The following is a 17,458-nucleotide window of genomic DNA, read 5'->3' on the forward strand; positions in this document are numbered from 1 at the left end:
CATATCCACACAAAGACTTGTATGTGAATGTTCACAGCAGCATTATTCATGATAATGAAAAATGTTAACAAGTGGAAAGAACAAATACTCATCAACTGATGACTGGATAAAGGAAAGGTGATACATATGTGGAATATTACTCAGCCATCAACAGGAATGAAGCACTGACAGGCTACAACGTGGACGGGCCTCAAAAGCATCCTGCGAAGTGAAAGAAGCCAGCTGCAAAGACCACATAGTGTGTAACTCCACTTCCATGAAACGCCCACAACAGGCAACCCTACAGAGACGGAAAGTAGCTTCGTGGCTGCCAGGGGAGGGGAGAAGAGGGGAATGGGGCATGACTGCTAATAGGTGGGGTCTTTCTCTTACATTACATGAAAAGGTTCTAAAATCAGATTGTGGTGGAGAATGCACAGCCCTGTGACTATATTAAAAACCATGGAATTATATGCTTTACATGGATGCACTGTATATTGCATGGAATGTGAATTATATCAAAATAAAGCTGTTTCCAAAAACCTCTCTCAGCCTCAAGGTTAACAGTGGGACTTTTTTTTTGGAGTGATGCTTTCCTTTCAGAACACCTCCTACCCTCAAGCCAAAACATCTCCACACAACCAACCCAAGACAAAGCCGAGCTCCTCCCGCTCACAGGTGCCTGGCCTTACCTGTTCCCAGCCAGAGCCTCCTGGGAACTCAGCATGGCCAGCTGGGCTCTGCACACTGTCCATCCCTGAGTCTCCCATGAGGGTTCCTAACTCATCCTGGGCCTGTTTCTACACCCCAGAGCCCTGGCTCTGGACATGCTCTGGTAGGGAAAACTTAAACATCCAATGGGGGCAATGCCAAAGAACCCCCAACCCCGAGAACCTTCCAACCATCCTGTGGCTCTCAGCAGTGCCTCACAGTGGCCACCTGGCAGACAGCAGCTCTCCACCAGCAATTCTGCCTGAGGACACCCAGGGCTGCCGGCAGCCGTCCTGGAGGAGGGGCGAGGATGGGAGCCTGACCCACTGGGGGGCCGTGTTCCCCCCAAAATCAGGGCACCCAGGGCATGACCCCACCCCTGCCCCCCACATCATGGTGAGGAGGGGACTGACACCCGTCTTCTGCCCAGGAGCAACACAGGGCCCACCAGGTCTGAGGAGGCTGCACGGGGGCTGAGGCACAAGAGTTTCCCAGGACATCCACCACAGGCTCAGGCAGACTCAGGGGCAAGGGGACCACCGAGGGACCCAGGGTCATCACCGTCACCCTGACATCAACACACAACCATAGCTACTCCTTGGTGAATATCAGCCACATCCTGGTGGTATGGGCCAAACTGTGTCCCCAAAAATGACACACTCAAATTCTAATCCTGGGTACCTGTGAATGTGACCTCATTTGGAAGTGAGGTCTTTGCAGATATCATCAAGATAAGATGGGGCCATACTGGATCAGGGTGGGCCCTAAATCCAATGCCTGGTGTCCTTATGAGAAGAGGGGAGGAGATGGAGACGCACACACAGGCCGACCCCACGCGGCAGCGAAGCAGGGGCTGGGGGGATGCGTCTAGGCCAAGGCAGCCTCTACCGGAGGGTAGAGGGGCAAGGACTGGTTTTCCTCCCCGGAGAGCCTTCAGAGGGGGCACGGCTTTGCTGACATCTTAACTTTGGACTCAGGCCTCCAAGCCATGAGACAACACATTTCTTTTTAAATCTGCTGATTAAAAGGGAGCCTGTTGATGCTCTATTGTGAATATCACATTCACATGGAACACGAACCACGTCCACATTGGGAACACCACGTCCTCACATAGCAGAGGATCAAAGACTCAAAAGAGGACTAAAGTCACCCTTCTACAACAGCATTAACCCCATCCATGCTGGAAGAACCTACGTGGCCCCATCAGCCCCCAAAAGTCCCATCTCTACCACCATCACAATAGGAAGCAAATTCCAACACGAGTTTTAAGGGAAACATTTCAACCACAGCACCTGTCAAATCCCTGATGAGACCACGACCTCAGACAATATTAGCTCACACTCTGGGGAGACCCAGAAGCAGGAAACAGAGCTGCACCTGACAAGGCCACGACCTCAATGTTAGCTCACATTCTGGTGAGACCCCGAAGCAGGGAACAGAGCTGCACCATGCCTGGACTTCCGATTTACAGAAACTGAGATCATCACATAACTGCCCAAGGGGTTCACCTTACCCGCTGCCTAGACAGCCAATTATCAAGACAGGGGAGCTGCAGGAGACAGAGTAGTTCACGCACAGCCGGCTGTGAAGGAGACCATTTCATTACGACTCAGATCCATCTCAGAGAGACGCATTGCTGTTCTTCAACCACCTGATTCGTGGTCACCTGTCCTGGCAGCCCCAGAATACCAGCATGCCTGAGTGAGCATGAGGGCTTCACGTGGCCGTCCCCGCACACACAACCAAAGCCGGCACACCTGGGCGAGTGTGAGGGCTTCACGTGGCTGTCCCGGCACACACACCTGATGCTGACGCACCTGGGCTAGTCTGAGGGCTTCACGTGGCCATCCCCACACACACAACTGATGCTGACGCACCTGGGCGAGTGTGAGGGCTTCACATGGCCGTCCCCACACACACAACTGATGCTGACGCACCTGGGCGAGTGTGAGGGCTTCACATGGCCGTCCCTGCACACACAACCAAAGCCAGCACACCTGGGCTAGTCTGAGGGCTTCACGTGGCCATCCCTGCACACACTCACAACTGACATCAACGCACCTGGGTGAGTGTGAGGGCTTCACGTGGCCATCCCTGCACACACAACTAATATCAACGCACCTGGGCAAGTGTGAGGGCTTCACGTGGCCATCCCCGCACACACAACTGACACCGATACACCTGGGTGAGTGTGAGGGCTTCAGATGGCCGTCCCCCCACACACAACTGATGTCGACACACCTGGGTGAGTGTGAGGGCTTCACATGGCCGTCCCCACACACACAACTGATGCTGACGCACCTGGGCGAGTGTGAGGGCTTCACATGGCCGTCCCTGCACACACAACCAAAGCCAGCACACCTGGGCGAGTCTGAGGGCTTCATGTGGCCATCCCTGCACACACTCACAACTGACATCAACGCACCTGGGTGAGTGTGAGGGCTTCACGTGGCCATCCCTGCACACACAACTAATATCAACGCACCTGGGCAAGTGTGAGGGCTTCACGTGGCCATCCCCACACACACAACTGACACCGACACACCTGGGCTAGTCTGAGGGCTTCACATGGCTGTCCCTGCACACACAACTGACATCAACGCACCTGGGTGAGTGTGAGGGCTTCACATGGCCATCCCTGCACACACAACATCAACGCACCTGGGCGAGTGTGAGGGCTTCACATGGCCGTCCCCACACACACACCTGATGCTGACGCACCTGGGCGAGTGTGAGGGCTTCATGTGGCCATCCCTGCACACACAACCAAAGCCAGCACACCTGGGCGAGTGTGAGGGCTTCACATGGCCGTCCCCACACACACAACTGATGCCGACGCACCTGGGTGAGTGTGAGGGCTTCACATGGCTGTCCCGGCACACATACCTGATGCTGACGCACCTGGGCGAGTGTGAGGGCTTCACATAGCCGTCCCCGCACACACAACCAACACCAGCACACCTGGGCAAGCACGAAGGCTTCACATGGCCATCCCCGTGCACTCATAACCCCAGCCCTGGTTGTCCCTGCCCACCTGCTTCATAAGGAGCGAGGTGGGGGCTGGGAAAGGCAGAAGGGAGGTCTCTGGCCTTCTCAGGACTTCAGGAAACGGTCTGCTGGACTTCCGAGACGTGTGCGCTGCCAGGGGTCCCCACACGCCTTGCTCGGTGGTAGAGAGGAGCCCCAAGCCCAGCCCGCCGCCGCGCCCTGAGCCTGCCCTGGCACTCACGGACTGGGAGCTGTCCCTGCTGTTGTCCCGGGACTTGTTCTTGGCCAGACGCTTCTTCTTCTTGTGCAGGGGCCTGGACTCCAGGATCATCTCCTCCAGCTCAAAGGTGGGGTCGCAGTGCAGACGGCCTTTCTACAGAGGGATGGGTGCTGAGCCCCGGCCCGTGGAGGACGCCACATCCATCCCCAGGGCCCCCCACCTGAGCCGCCCACAGGCTTACGTTGGGCACGAAGCCCGGCTCCACCCTCTTCTCGCTCAGGTGGTCCCACAGCACGCCGGCCAGCGCCGGGGCTGCCTGCACGTCCTGGAGGCTGGAGAGCCGGTGCTCGGGGTTCACAGTGAGGAGCTGCAACCAGGCATGAGTCAGAGGGTCCAGGGCCCACAGCCCACCAGCACGGAATAGCCCGCCACCCCCAGGCCAGGGCACCTTGAGGAGGGTCCCACCAAGCCTGAGGTTCAGAATTCAGGAACCTCAGGGCCACGCGAGGAAGGGTGGTGCCGACGGCCGACATCAGGCAAAGCACCGTGGCTGGCTCAGCATGTGGCCCAAGGGACGCCTGTTCTCAGTGCTGCTACCTAAACCCCTGGCGCCAGAGGACAGCAGAGGGATCTGCAGGGAAGGCTCTGCTGGGATTTGCCAGGAGGTGGCAGCCGAGGCCCGGCTAGCGGCTAACACTCGGCACATGGCTGGCCTCACAGTAACTATCCCAGAGCCACTTCCTTCACCGAATCATGGGACCTCCACAGGCCAGATGAGCCCGGGGCAGCCATGCATGGCCTGGGAAGCAACATCCCAGCGCTGGCACCTCCCGCCTTTCCAGGGAAAATGCCGCAGACCCAGACCCCGTGCGAGGTTTCCCAGACCTGGGCTTGGGCGTGTGGGTCATCCCCAGTCCCCACGCAGGCCCTCTCTAGCCCAGTGCCACCTTGTGAGCCACCTGGGCAGGTGTGACTGAGCTTCGTGGGGCTACAGCAGAGTTAAGAGACTCTCGGGGCTGGGGAGAGGCCCCGGCAGGCAAGGCCTCCCCAAGGATTTAGGCTGCTTGGCTACAATTCCAGGGCAGGAGGCCCCACCTGCCTGAGACACGGGGGCCGGGAGGCAGCCGGGCCCGTGTGGCACACTCACTCCCCTCCCTGTCCTGCCTGGGCCTGGCTCTGACTCCGAACCCCCTATGGTGTTAATGCGAGGCTCGGAACAGGGAGCTGTGCAGCCCAGTCAAGGCACAGCCCCAGCCTAGCACCAGATCACAAATGGGAGGCACTACTGATGGCCACACCCCTGCCCGTGTCCCTGCCAGGCTGATGTCCCCTGAGAGGTGTTTGCAGTGGGCAGTGGCTGCCCACCTTCCCCAGGAGGCACTGGGGCAAAGGGTCCCGGAGATAGCATGGGCTTGAACCCACCCACCCGACACCCTCCTTCCAATACGTGGGACAAGGGGACGTGGCTCAGGGCTCCTCTGTGGTGACCGGCAGGGCGGGCGCACAAGCCTGCTGTGAGGGTGCCTGGAGACGCAGCTCAGGGGATCACCAGGACACCAGTGACCTGGTAGGGCTCGCCATGAGAGGGCCACAGAGCCTGCCACCAGCTCGCTTCCTGGGGCTTGGGGCTGCCATCTGCGGAGGCCCCCACAGGTTGCAGTGAAGGGATCTGTGCCTGCCAGGAAGCGGCACTAACTGTGCACTGGAGGGGGTGTCCCGAGCCGCAGGTAAGTGAGGGAGGGAGGTGGGTGCTCGGAGGGTGAGGAGGCTCAGGGATGGGGGCTCACCTTCCGCAGCAAGGCCACCATCTCCTTGGACCACGTGGGGACATACTGGACGCTCACGGTGCTGAACAGCTGCACCAGGGACTCCACGGCGTTGCTGGAGTGGATGTCATAGGGCCTCTGGAGACAGGGAGGCAGTGCTGGGCAGGTCCTCCTGGCCCCCAGGACACCCAGAACAATGCCAGACACAGGTGCCATCGCCCTGAGAGGACCCCCTCCCCCCACCCCAAGTGCAGGCACAGCTCTGAGCACAGCCTGGCCTCCACCTGCCGCGGAGGAGCCTGGGTGAGATAAAGCTTACGCCTGGGTCCTGCGCCCTGGCTGCTGCGCCCATCTGGCTGGGATCCCAGGGGGCCTGGGTCCAGGTAGATCAGCCCCAGAGGGCCAGGAGGGAGCTGGCTTCCTCAGAGGTGGGGTCCTGTGCAGGGCTGAGGGGTACGGTCCACAAGAGGACCCCCAGCCTCCCGGTCTCCAGGACTGGCCTCGCCGTGGCCACAAGGGTAAGAGCACAGGGCCCCAAAAGAAACTTTTTGTGGAAAGTTCCGAGGCAGCACCCCTGCTGGCCAGTTCTCAGCCTTGTCCACCCCCACAGAGGCTGGCCTGCAGGCACCAGCAGCGGCCCCGGGAAACCACAGTGAGTCTGTCCTTCCTCCTCCTGCTCAGGCATTCCATCACCAACTACACACTTCGATAAAAGCGTGACTCCTCAGACACAGTGGAGACATCCCTGCGCACCTGGACACTGGGGCAGCCACCCCCTCCCCAGCACTGGTGGGGGCAGAGAGCAGGGGCCTGGCAGCCAAGCCCAGGGGCTGCAGGGGGTCCATACCCATCCTCGCAGCAGCTCATAGGCCATCACCCCCACCGACCACCAGTCCACCTCGAAGGAGTAGCCGGTCCCGCCGTTGACAAAAGAGTGGAAGATCTCCGGAGCTTTCCGACAGAAAGAAGGAAAAACAGCTGCCACGGGGTCACAGCCCGGACCCGTGGGCACAGGGCCGGCACCTTGAGGCCACATCCCGAGACCAGGCTGCCTCCAGGGTGGGACAGAGAAGCCACCGAGGTCTTGTCCTTCCCACCTGGAGGAAGCCAGCTCCCATCTGGAACCCCAGCTCGGGCTCACCCATGTACGGCTTGGTGCCTGCTAATGCCGTCGCCCGCTCCCCGTCCTTGATGATGGTGGCAATGTTGAAGTCGGTCAGGTGTGCATGTCCTGTGCAGAGAGGGGTCAGGTGTGGCTGTCCCAGGACCAGAGATGCATCCTTGCGTGCAGGATCCTCCTCCCCTGACAGGCCCATCCCTGCCACCACCCACCTGGGCTGCCCACACCCAACCCCACACACCTCTCTCATCCAGGAGAATGTTGTCAGGCTTGACATCTCTAGAAAGAGCAGAAAGTGGGAAGGTGAGTTGGGAATCTGCCCTGTTTCTGCCCTGGAATCTCTGTCACAATCCCTGGAGTCCCCAGGACATCCCACCAACCCACTCGAGGCAGAGGCCTGGGAGCTTGACTTGGTCCTTGGATGATGCTAGGACCTCACACCCCTGCGTGGGGGCAGAGGCGATGAAGTCAGCCACTTCGTTCCCTGTGGCATCTGGGCAGCAGCACACACCTGGCACCAGATGCTGGGAGGGGGCCTGGAGCCCCAGAGGACGAGAGCAATTGCTGGCAGGGTCTGCCCTCCCCCTCCAAGACTCGGCCTCTAGGAGACCAAGCCACCTCGGCTCTTGCTTTGTCCCAACTTTTCCAGGTACACAGCCAGTGCTCAGTGACTGGTGCCTAGGTCATAATCAGACATCCGAGTCCCCAAGAGCAGAAATGCAAACACCAGTCCATTCGACTTTAAAATATACCTCACAGATATTTTCATTTTGTTCCATTGCTGCGGAATTTCAGCCTAATTTCTGCTTCCCAATTTCACTTCCTTCATAATCTGCTTCCTATTTTCTTTTTTTAAATTTTATTTTCAGAGCCATCACACCAGCTCTGCTTCCTAATTTCATCTGCTTTAAGCTAATGTTAAAATTAGTTTGGATTCCCTGGGATGTGGTGGATGGGCAAACAGGAGCCTTCAGTTAAATGGACCAGGTGAAGGCCACCTGCTGTGACCCAGCCTGGTGGTCTGTCCACCAGGGCTAACAGCCCACTGTGCCCAGTCTCAGCTGGGGCTGCTGGGACGAGGTCCCCCCAGATGGACACCAGGCACACAGCTATGGGGCTGACCTGGTCGGCACAGGTGCCACAGCTGGGGGCAGGCACTCAGGCAAGGGTGGGGCAGAGGAGCTAGACCCGCTCTGAGGGAGTACGGCCGCCGTGCCGGCAGCCTGACCTAAGGCTGCTTCAGCCCCGCCCACCTCAGCAGGTACCTGCGCCGTCTGCCACGCACACACCTGTGGATGATGTGCTGGCCGCGCAGGTAGTCCAGAGCCAGTGCCATCTCGCAGATGTACAGCCTCACCGTGTCCTCGGAGAACTGCACGTTCTGCTGCAGGTGGTAGCGCAGGTCCCCGCCCAGTAGCAGGTCCACGACCATGAACATGTCCTCCTCGTCCTGGAAGGAGTACCTGTGGGCACCGATGGAAGGCCTGTTGTGCGCACAGCTGGGGAGCCAGTCATGGCTGCTCCCACAGCTGACACACTCCCCCTAAGGACCACAGCCCCACCCCAGCATCAGCCACCAGGCATTCCCAGGAGGAGGGGCCTGCCCAAGGCACTGATTGCACCCCAGCCCAGAGCAGCTCTGAGCCCAGATCCTGAGGAAAGACACACCACCCTGTGCTGGAGGTGGCCCAGCTGGGGCCAGAGGCACCTGGGAGTGGCAAATGCAGAGCAGAGCTACAGTGCCAGCTCCGGGTGCTTCAGGCTGCCCGGCCTCCTCTTCGGTAAAATGGGGATACAGACATTTGCCTCGGAGGGTTGTTACAGAAAATGAGGCCGTGTAGGTACCACTCTTGACAGTGTTGGGCAAAGAGCTGGCATTTAACAACCAGCATCCATGGTGTTGACGATGGCAGTGATGGTGGTGGTGGTGACGGTGATGGTGAGGATGACGGTAGTGAGGACTGAGGGTGGTGGTGATGGTGATAACAGTGATTGTGGTCGTGGTGGTGGTGGTAATGGTGGTGACAATAGTGATTGTGTTGATTATAGTGATGACGGTGATGAGAGTGATGATGGTTGCAGTGGTGATGGTGGTGGTGATGGCGATGATGGTGGTGATGGTGATGGTGATGACAGTGGTGAGTTTTTCAGTCCCTAAACTCTCTCCCTCTCTGACTAGTGCCAGAGACTCCATGGGAGCACATCTCCATTGTAGGGAAGCCCTGGTCTTCCGGCAGGCTCAGAAGAGACACTGCATTAACCAACCCCAGCATGTCATGGCCACCTGGGCCACTGCCAGGCCTGGGGCACAGGAAGGGGGATAGATGAGGAGGGCTAGAGAGGGCCTGTGGGTGGCAGAGGCATCTCCGAGGCACGAGGGCCAAGGAGCACCAAGGGCAGGAGAGGATAGCCAGTGCCTTCCCGGCTTCAGGACGGTAAGTCTTTCTGCAGCGAGGCCATGGCAGGCTCACCAGAGGTTCACCAGGAAGACGTGCTCGATCTCCTGCAGGATCTCCAGCTCCCGGAAGACGTTGCGGACCTCGTCGCGCTCGATGCACTGCTGCTTGTTCATGTACTTCATGGCGTACATCTTCTCCGTGTCCCGCTTCTGCACAATGCACACCTGGAGGGCACAGGGCTGTTCGGCAGGACGCCTGAGGACGCCTGGGGACACGTGGGGACACCTGGAAATGCATGGGGATGCCTGGGGACGCATCGTCAGGACACAAGGGGACACCTGGGGACGCGCCGCAGCCCCTCTGCCTCCTAGACGCGGCAGGTGCATTCCTCTCTGCCACATATGGTAACATATTTGCTCTGGGGATTAAGATGTGGGTGTTTTGGAGGCCGTGATTCTGCCCCCCAGAGGTTCCTGTACTGGTTAGTGTGTGGCCCTGGCGGCACCTGTCTCAGTGACATCCTGGCTCCATGGCTGTTAGTGAAGACCCCTCCCTGAGACTCAGTCCTGCGTTTCAAGTCTGCAGCAGGACACATCTGTCAACAGGCGCTATCTGCAAACAGACAGGGTCCAGCCTAACAGCATCCAGGCGTGAGTTGGAGCCAAGCAGTGGCTGGTTGTGCGGGGAGCGCCCCTCACCAGCCACGACCTGGGCATGGAGTTTTGCCTTCCTAAACCCCAACATCCTTTTCCAGGGCTTGGAGCAGCAAGCAGCCCGGAGGGGTACTGGGGAATGAATGCGAAAACCCACTGAGCACAGAGCCCTGCGCTCAGGAAGCCTCATCAACCATGGCTGCAGCTTCACCCTGGACGCACATCACTCCACACTCCAGAGACCGACTCCCGTCTCAACACCGTGAGGCCAAGGCCCCTCACCCTGTCCTGCAAGGAGACACACAGAGTGAGCGTGGGGCTTGGGGGCCACCGCTGCCACCACAGTGGGACCCCCTCCGGGGCGCCAGTCCCCACATAGCTCTTCAGGCCTGTACCCTCTGAGCATGGATCATCGGTGTCAACACTGATGCCGCAAACACACGGCTAATTGCTTAGCAGTGAGGATGAGAGTGAGGTGACGGGTGAGAAGCATCAATGAGCAGGGGGGTCCCTTGTGGCCAAGGATGTCAATCAGAATTGAGGATGAAGATCCCCAAAGGGAAGCCAGGAATTAAGGCACAAAATTGTGAGCAGCAGAGCTAACCCCTGTCTGACACTCAGGTTGGGAGAGACCTTCCCAGGACAGGTAATCCAGACCCGTTTCCAAGGCCTTCCACAACCTCTGCTCTCTGGTCCTCAAGGAGTTGGAGCCCAGCAGGGGGCCTGGAGGAAATGGATGATTCTGGATCTCAAGGTGGGCCACAGATGGCCCTGGGCTCCTGGCTGCATGCCCGGAAAGCGTGGTGGCACACACCCGTAGTCCCAGCTACTCAGGAGACTGAGAAGGGAGGATTGCTTGAGCCTGAGAGGTTGAGGCTGCAGTGAGCCACGACTGTACCACTGAACTCAGCCTGGGTGACAGGGCGAGACCCTGTCTCTAAAAAAATTAAGTCAGATGATTAACAACCTTAATTCAATCTGCAATCTTCATTCCTCTCTGCCACGAATGGTAACATGTTTGTTCTGGGATTTGGATGTGGGTGTTTTGGAGGCCATGATTCTGCCCCCAGAGGTTCCTGTACTGGTTAGTGTGTGGCCCTGGAGGCACCTGTCTCAGTCACATCCTGGCTCCGGGGCCCTTACTGGAGACCCCTCCCTGAGACTCAGTCCTTTTGTGAAGCAAAGCGGTGACCCTCCCTCCCGCAAGGGGCCACTGGGAGTCACACTGTGCACAGAGCACCGGGCTGGCCCAAACTAAGAAAGCATGTCTGATGGTGCCAAGCGGTGGCCTGGGTGGATCCGGCTGCAGCACTGTGGTGCGGGAGACAGTGGCTTGGCCTGGCACCATGGGCTCTAAGTATGGCCTCTCCAGGAAGCTGACAACAGGCGTGGCCTCAGCACCTCCCTGCCCGGTGGGAGGGGAAAGCTGAGCCTGAAGGGACAGGAAGAGCCTTGTGTTGGGGGCTGCCCAGAGGCGCGTGTGCTGATGGGGGCTCCTGAACACGCGGCCACACCTGCTGAGGAGCGGGGGCAGCTGCAGGCAGCCCGAGAACAGACGGAGACTAAGCTTGAACGAGGCCGCCTTGGGAGGGCGGGGCGGGGCGGGATTTCTCCTGAACTTCCTGCATTTCCTATGACCATTTTTTAAATTGTTATTTTGAAAGCCAGTTGAGGGTTTCAGAATGACAGTGAGCGTAAGCTGCAGCAGCCCCTGGCTGCCCCTGGCAGGACCCCCTCCTGCCGCTTCCCACTGCCAACGGGGCAGAGTCGCGTGGCTCGGCAGCACGGCCTTCCTCCCATGCACACGGCCGCAGGAGGCCGAGGAGTCCCGTGCCCGGGATGGAAGCCCCAGCCTCACTCTGCACAGGCGCAGAAGCAACGGTGCTTTCCTGCGCCAGCCCCAGCACCCGCGGCCTCCTGCAGACGGTCACTGCAGGCTCAAGGCGGCCACTGCAGGTCTGGAAACTGCTCCAGAAAGGCTGTTTGTTGCCCTGGGGCTGGGACCAGACAGGCTGTGAGACAAATATGGTGGAAAATCCGGCCCTCACCCTCTGCCCCTCAGGAGCCTGGCTTGGGGCCACTGGCTGGGGCCAGGGCTCTTGCTGCTGGGGGGGAAGCTGGCGGGGGGGGGGGGGCTGCAGAGCCCACCTCTGCCTGGAGCGGCGCCAGCACCCGCAGCCCAAGGCCGTCTTCAGCCGGTCCCAAGCCTCAGGCTTTCTGTCGCTTGTGCACCACCCCAGAAAGCTGCCTGCCCAGGCGACCCAACCCTCTCCAGGCTCCCTCTGCCCCTCCTGCTCACGATGCAGCTCAGCTCTTACGGGGGAATCTCTGGAAGAACACGCCTTCCCTTGGGGTGCTCAACCCCCACAGCCCACTCACCAGGGGACAGGGCACCTGGGCTTCCCGTGCCCTCTGGGCCCTGTCACATGTGCGGCGGACACAGACCGGGTGTCTACTCCAGACAGGACCTCACCCTCCTGCCAGACAGGCTCACCCAGGACCACCCGCTTTCCCAAGCATGTGGCCTGGGCTCCATCTGGGACCAGCCCCTTGGCCCTGTGACCCAAGCCTGCTCTCCCCGTCACACGCATCCCATCACCCACAGCCAGGGAGCAGGGACAGAAGAGCCACCTCGAGACAGGGCCTGGCCTCGCACACCCACGGCTCTGCTGTCCACCAGAACAAAGCAGCAGATCCACTTGCCTCCAGCCTGTTACCCCACCTGGGAAACAAACTGCCTGGATGGTGGAGCCATCAGCCACAGTCCAAGCCCCTGGCCTGGCCCTGTGGGAGGAGCTGCCCTGAGGAGCAAGGGGAGGCAGGGTTACACTCAGGTCTCCCGAGTCTTTGGGCTCTGTGTCCTGGAACATTCTCAGCTCAACTGCAGTTCAAGAAAAGCTTGCAAGTCTTCCTATATGCCAGCCCCATGCAAGGTACTGGCAGTGCAGGGTGAGTGGCCATGGTGCCTCCCTGGAGACCCTGGTGGAAACGCCTCGATCCCTCACAGCAGGCCCGAGTGCGTCCCCAAAAGACACAGCCACCAGGAGCCTCGGAATGTGGCCTTATTCGGAATAAAGGTCTCTGAAGATGTAATTAAGTTGAGGATCTGGAGGTCCTGAATTGGGATGGGCCCTAAAGCCAATGATAGACACCCTGATAAAAGACAGAAAAGAGAAGATGACGCAGGCATGGGGGCGAGGGAGTGTGAAGGTGGAGCAGAGGCAGTGATGTGAAGATGCCAGCCTGGGAATGGAGTGACATGGCGGCAAGCTGAGGACACCACGAGTGGCCAGCAGCCACCAGACGCCGGGAGAAGGCACAGCGGGTCCTCCCACGGAGCCGCCCAGAGGGCCCACCCTGCCAGGTCTCAGGCTTCCCATCTCCAGGACTACAAGAGAAACTTCTGTTGTTTGCAGACACTGAGCTACGGAACTTGGTTGTGGCGGGAAACTCGCTTTCTCCACGCCTCCTGTGTCTCTGCATCCCTGATAACACCCTGCAGACTCTGAGCACCTGCGGCCACGCCTGCAGGCAGCAGCCTCACCTGCGCTCACGCTGCGCCCTCACCGGAGCACCTGCCAACCCAGCAGCCCACTTCCCCTAATCTCCTTCACCATTTTCTGACCCAGGCCAGCAGGTGGGGAGCCTGTCCTGCCCCTTATCACTAGGACCCGCCCTCTGAGGCCTGGACTGTCAGGCACGTTGAAGGTGGTTTGGGGTGGTGTGGGGTTTTCCGTTGAAATGGATTTGATTAAGTCAATCACATCAAAGTGCTCTTAGGTGAAGACAACAGAGAAGAGGGCGGGTCCGGCAGGCTCCCTCGGGCCCCTGATGCAGGAGGCTCCAACGAGCGGTGGCGTAAAGCCCTGGGTTTGGTGCAGTCTCTGTCTGGAGGGACCTCAGCACCCGAGATCACGCAGAGCAGTGTTTACAAAAAAGACTGGAAACCGGCGGCCTTTTATGACCAGGCCTGGGGGGCTGAGGGCAGGCAGGTCCGACTCAAACGCTTCCTCCAGGAAACTGGTCCCTGCTTTCCCAGCCGCTTCCTCCAATCACCAACTTAAGCCCAAAGAGAAAATGGAGTTTGAGGTCTCACCACAAAGAGGAACAAGCCAACCCCGGGCTCCGGAGCCCTGGGCTTTTCCTATGAAACGCCACTGATGGGGAGGCCACAACGCCACCCGGAGCCCTGGGCTTTTCCTATGAAACGCCACTGACGGGGAGGCCACAGCGCCACCCGGAGCCCTGGGCTTTTCCTATGAAACGCCACTGACGGGGAGGCCACAGCGCCACCCGGAACAGGCTGGTGCCTGCAGCCATGTGACTGCCAATTCAACCAAATGCTGTTTATGCATTTGGCAGATTTAAGTGATTCACCCAAGCTCTTTCTCTTTCCAAGTAATTTTTGTTCCCCAGAAGCAAATGCCTGACCACAAGTACCTAAGGCCTCTAAACGGTATAATGAAACCACCTCCTAATCCTTCCTGGGGGAGCTTCTGGTGTCCCAAGGAGAAGTAGAGCCTGGGGACGTGGGGACAGCAGGGCGGGACAGGGCAAGGCAGGCTCCCTCCCAGGGTTCAGTGCTGGGTACCACAAAAACGGGAGGGTCAGTGCCCAGGACGGGGCTGGAGAAGGTGTCTGCAGCGGCTGAAGAAGGTGCAGCCCAGTATGGGGCCTCTGGGGAGGGCACTGGAGGCAGAGGGGTCCCCCAGGCAGAACCGGGCTCCCGTGCACTCCAGAGGCAGTTCCATCTCTCACTCTCCTCCTGCCCCTCCTGAGACCCCCCTGAAGCTGTTCTCTTGACGTCCCTGAGAAGCTGTGTCCCATAGGCCACTTGTCCCAGGTCCCTCTCCCTGGATGAGCTCAGGATTCTAACGCGGTGAGTGGGAATCCGTTTTGGGGTTTCAGTTTTCCCCCGATGCCTAGTGGCTGCTTCCTAGGCCATGGCTGGTGAAGTTAAGACGCCTCACGAGGCCACAAACCTCTCAAGAAGAGGTGGACCCTGGCAAGCTCACCAAGGGGCCTGGGTGGCGGCTGTAGTGGCCATGCTGCGATGGCACCACCTGGCACTGAGGCTCTTGTTCCATCCACTGCAGATGGCAGAGGGGGGTCTTTGTCCCAAGAGGCTGGGAACCCCCCATGCCCTATGGCTGTCAGGTGTTGGTGGCCAGGCAGGGGCACTCAGCCCACCGGCTTCCCAGGGGACGGAGCTACCTCCCAGGCCCACACGCGCTCCCGCCTAAAGCCCTTGTTTAGTCAGAACATTGCCGTGGGGCTAAGGCACACAGTTGCTGCGACTGCAGGATGGCCCCTTCGGCAACAGCTGCCTCCCCTCAGCTGCTTCATGCTGGCTGGAGCCTTACTGGGCTTGGAAGAGCAGATGGGCTGGGGCGCCGTCTGAGTCCTCGCCACTGTGGAACTACTATGGACATACTGTTTTCTGGTGCTTGCATGCAAGCGATCGTTCCGATGAGGTCTGGGATTCTTGGCTATCTTCAAACAGAGCTTGGAGATGCTGCTCCTGAGTGGCTGAGAACCTGTGGCCTCGTGGACTCTCCCACTTGGGGATAACCAAGGCTCTTAACACCTTGCCTGGCTACTCCCAGCTCTCCTCGCCCTGGGATCGAGGACCTGTGTGCAGGATGTGCATAATCCGTGATCCATCTTGAGGGCCACCCTCCATGCTGCCCGAGCTTGACAGCCGCTTCCAAGGGAGCTCTGCCGCTGTTTCTCCCTTGTGTCCTCCTGACACTTCCCGATGCATCCCCGAGTTCTGGGAGGCACCTCCACGTCCCTTCCTCTTCTGCCACATTCCCATGCCTTGCCACGGTCCCCTCTGAAACAGCGGGGGTTCCTCCAGCAGGTTTGCCCACTTCGCTTTTTCTGCCTTGCCCTGCTGCTAGGTGAGGTCTCTATGAATTCTTGGGGGGACTCTGGGTGCTCCTTCACTCAGAGAGCTTTCTCTCACCTGTTTCCACACAGCTCTGAGCCCAAAGGGTTTCACCCTCCACACCCTGCATCCTGTGCTCTGTATGGCCCCTTCTGAGCTTCCGGCCCCTTCATGCCAGGGCTCTCCCCCTCCTGCTTGGGGAGTGGTGGGATGCCGGGGCAGGTGTGGCTGCCATCCGTTCCTGTCAGTCAGGGACCACCTCTTCTTGCATCTCTGGCTGCCTCGAGCCTGTGGCTCTCATGAGCTGCTGGGGGGGCCTTGGGGGTTGGAGGTCAGGTAAAGACAGGAAGTCTGTGTTGTTCAAAGCCTTGCACATGGGCTAATTTGTTACAGCAGCCATTGGACACTTGTGCAGTATGCCCACCGGGGCAGGTGGGAAGCTTGTGTGGCACGCCCACCAGGGCAAGTGATGTGGCTGTGAAGGGACCTAGGGCAGGGATACACATTGTACAGGGGGCACCAGACACACGGTTGGGGAAGAAAGCAAGGTGAAGCTGTGACTGGTGTGAGCGGTGTGAGCAGTGTGAACTGTGAGTGGTATGAACTGTCTGAGTGGTGTGAGCTGTGTGACTGGTATGAACTGTGTGAGTGGTGTGAGCTGTGTGACTGGTATGAACCGTGTGAGTGGTGTGAGTGGTGTGAGCTGTATGAGTGGTGTGCCACCCTTGATGGCAGAAGCAGATTAAACAGATATGTTAAAAGAAATCAGGCCAGGCGCTGTGGCTCACACCTGTAATCTCAATACTTTGAGAGGCGGAGGCGGGCAGATCACGAGGTCAGGAGTTCAAGACCATCCTGGACAACATGGTAAAACCCCGTCTCTACTAAAATACAAAAAATTAGCTGGGTGTGGTGGCGTGTGCCTGTAATCCCAGCTTCTCGGGAGGCTGAGGCAGGGGAATCTCTTGAACCTGGGAGGCGGAGGTTGCAGTGAGCCGAGATTGCACCATTGCACTCCAGCCTGGCAACAGAGCAAGACTCAGCCTTAAAAAAAAAAAAAAAAAAAAGGAAAGAAATCAATCAATCAATGGAAATATGAACTAAAATCTTTTTTACAAGGGATATTTCTAGAAGGAAGGAGAAGGCAGGAGGAAGGGACAGTGTCGGGGCCTCCAGGTGACGTGGGCAGCAGAAGCAGACAGGATGCTCAGGACACAGAGCCATCTGGGCCCTCAGCAAGTAAACAGCAAGGACAGGGCCCACAGAGTGACCGGCGGTCACGGACCCACCTCACTGCACAGACTCATCCAGATCCTGATTGAGAGAAACCATCAGAAGACATTCACAGACACTGGGAGAACACAAGCCTGGCGCAGTGTGATGGGATCGTAAAGACCGTTGTTTCAGGTGTGGAAAAATACCGTGGCGGTGGCTACGAAGAGAGTCCTCATCTTTAAAGATAACACACTAAACTATCAGTGGATAAAATGACACACTCTCTGGAATTCATGTCGGATACCGAGGGCACAGCGGGAGGTGGCGAAGGTTGTGGCTGTAACAGGATTGGTGTCGCGTCGGTCCCTGATGAGGCCGGACCCGGGTGCTTGTGGGGGGTCACAGTGTTCCTCCTCTATACCATGTGAGTTGCATCTTCTAAAAACTAGAAAAAGAGAAGAGTTGAGGCAATGCTTCCGTGGCCCCAAAGCCCACACATGGGCCTCAGTCAGGAGCA

General features: G+C 58.7%; 1 protein-coding gene across 16 annotated transcripts in view, besides 1 other annotated feature; it reads right to left on the minus strand.

The window, feature by feature from the left end:
* Positions 1–17,458, minus strand: part of STK32C (serine/threonine kinase 32C) — a 124,754-nt gene that overhangs the window by 11,240 nt on the left and 96,056 nt on the right. For 8 of the 16 annotated variants that reach the window (NR_134911.1, XM_011539693.3, XM_047425115.1 and 5 more), the window contains 8 exons: positions 9,256–9,407; positions 8,074–8,247; positions 7,026–7,063; positions 6,806–6,895; positions 6,512–6,615; positions 5,686–5,802; positions 4,140–4,265; positions 3,920–4,051 (listed from right to left, as the gene is read on the minus strand). Coding sequence is in view for 15 of the 16 variants with exons in the window: in XM_047425114.1 (XP_047281070.1) it covers positions 3,920–4,051; positions 4,140–4,265; positions 5,686–5,802; positions 6,512–6,615; positions 6,806–6,895; positions 7,026–7,063; positions 8,074–8,247; positions 9,256–9,407 (933 nt within the window). In the remaining variant the exon portion in view is untranslated. Of the gene's footprint in view, positions 1–3,919; positions 4,052–4,139; positions 4,266–5,685; positions 5,803–6,511; positions 6,616–6,805; positions 6,896–7,025; positions 7,064–8,073; positions 8,248–9,255; positions 9,469–16,804; positions 17,387–17,458 lie in introns of those variants that run through there. The other 8 variants (XM_011539688.2, XM_011539690.3, XM_024447949.2 and 5 more) reach the window with 4 other exon arrangements.
* Positions 11,532–11,611: an enhancer, noted in NCBI's record as "active region_4222". NCBI's record gives its function as "activates an Ori minimal core promoter by ATAC-STARR-seq in GM12878 lymphoblastoid cells {active_cell/tissue: GM12878}" and the evidence as "EXISTENCE:reporter gene assay evidence [ECO:0000049][PMID:35858748]".

This window comes from Homo sapiens, chromosome 10 (assembly GCF_000001405.40).
Source record: "Homo sapiens chromosome 10, GRCh38.p14 Primary Assembly".
Taxonomy (NCBI): Eukaryota; Metazoa; Chordata; class Mammalia; order Primates; family Hominidae; genus Homo; species Homo sapiens.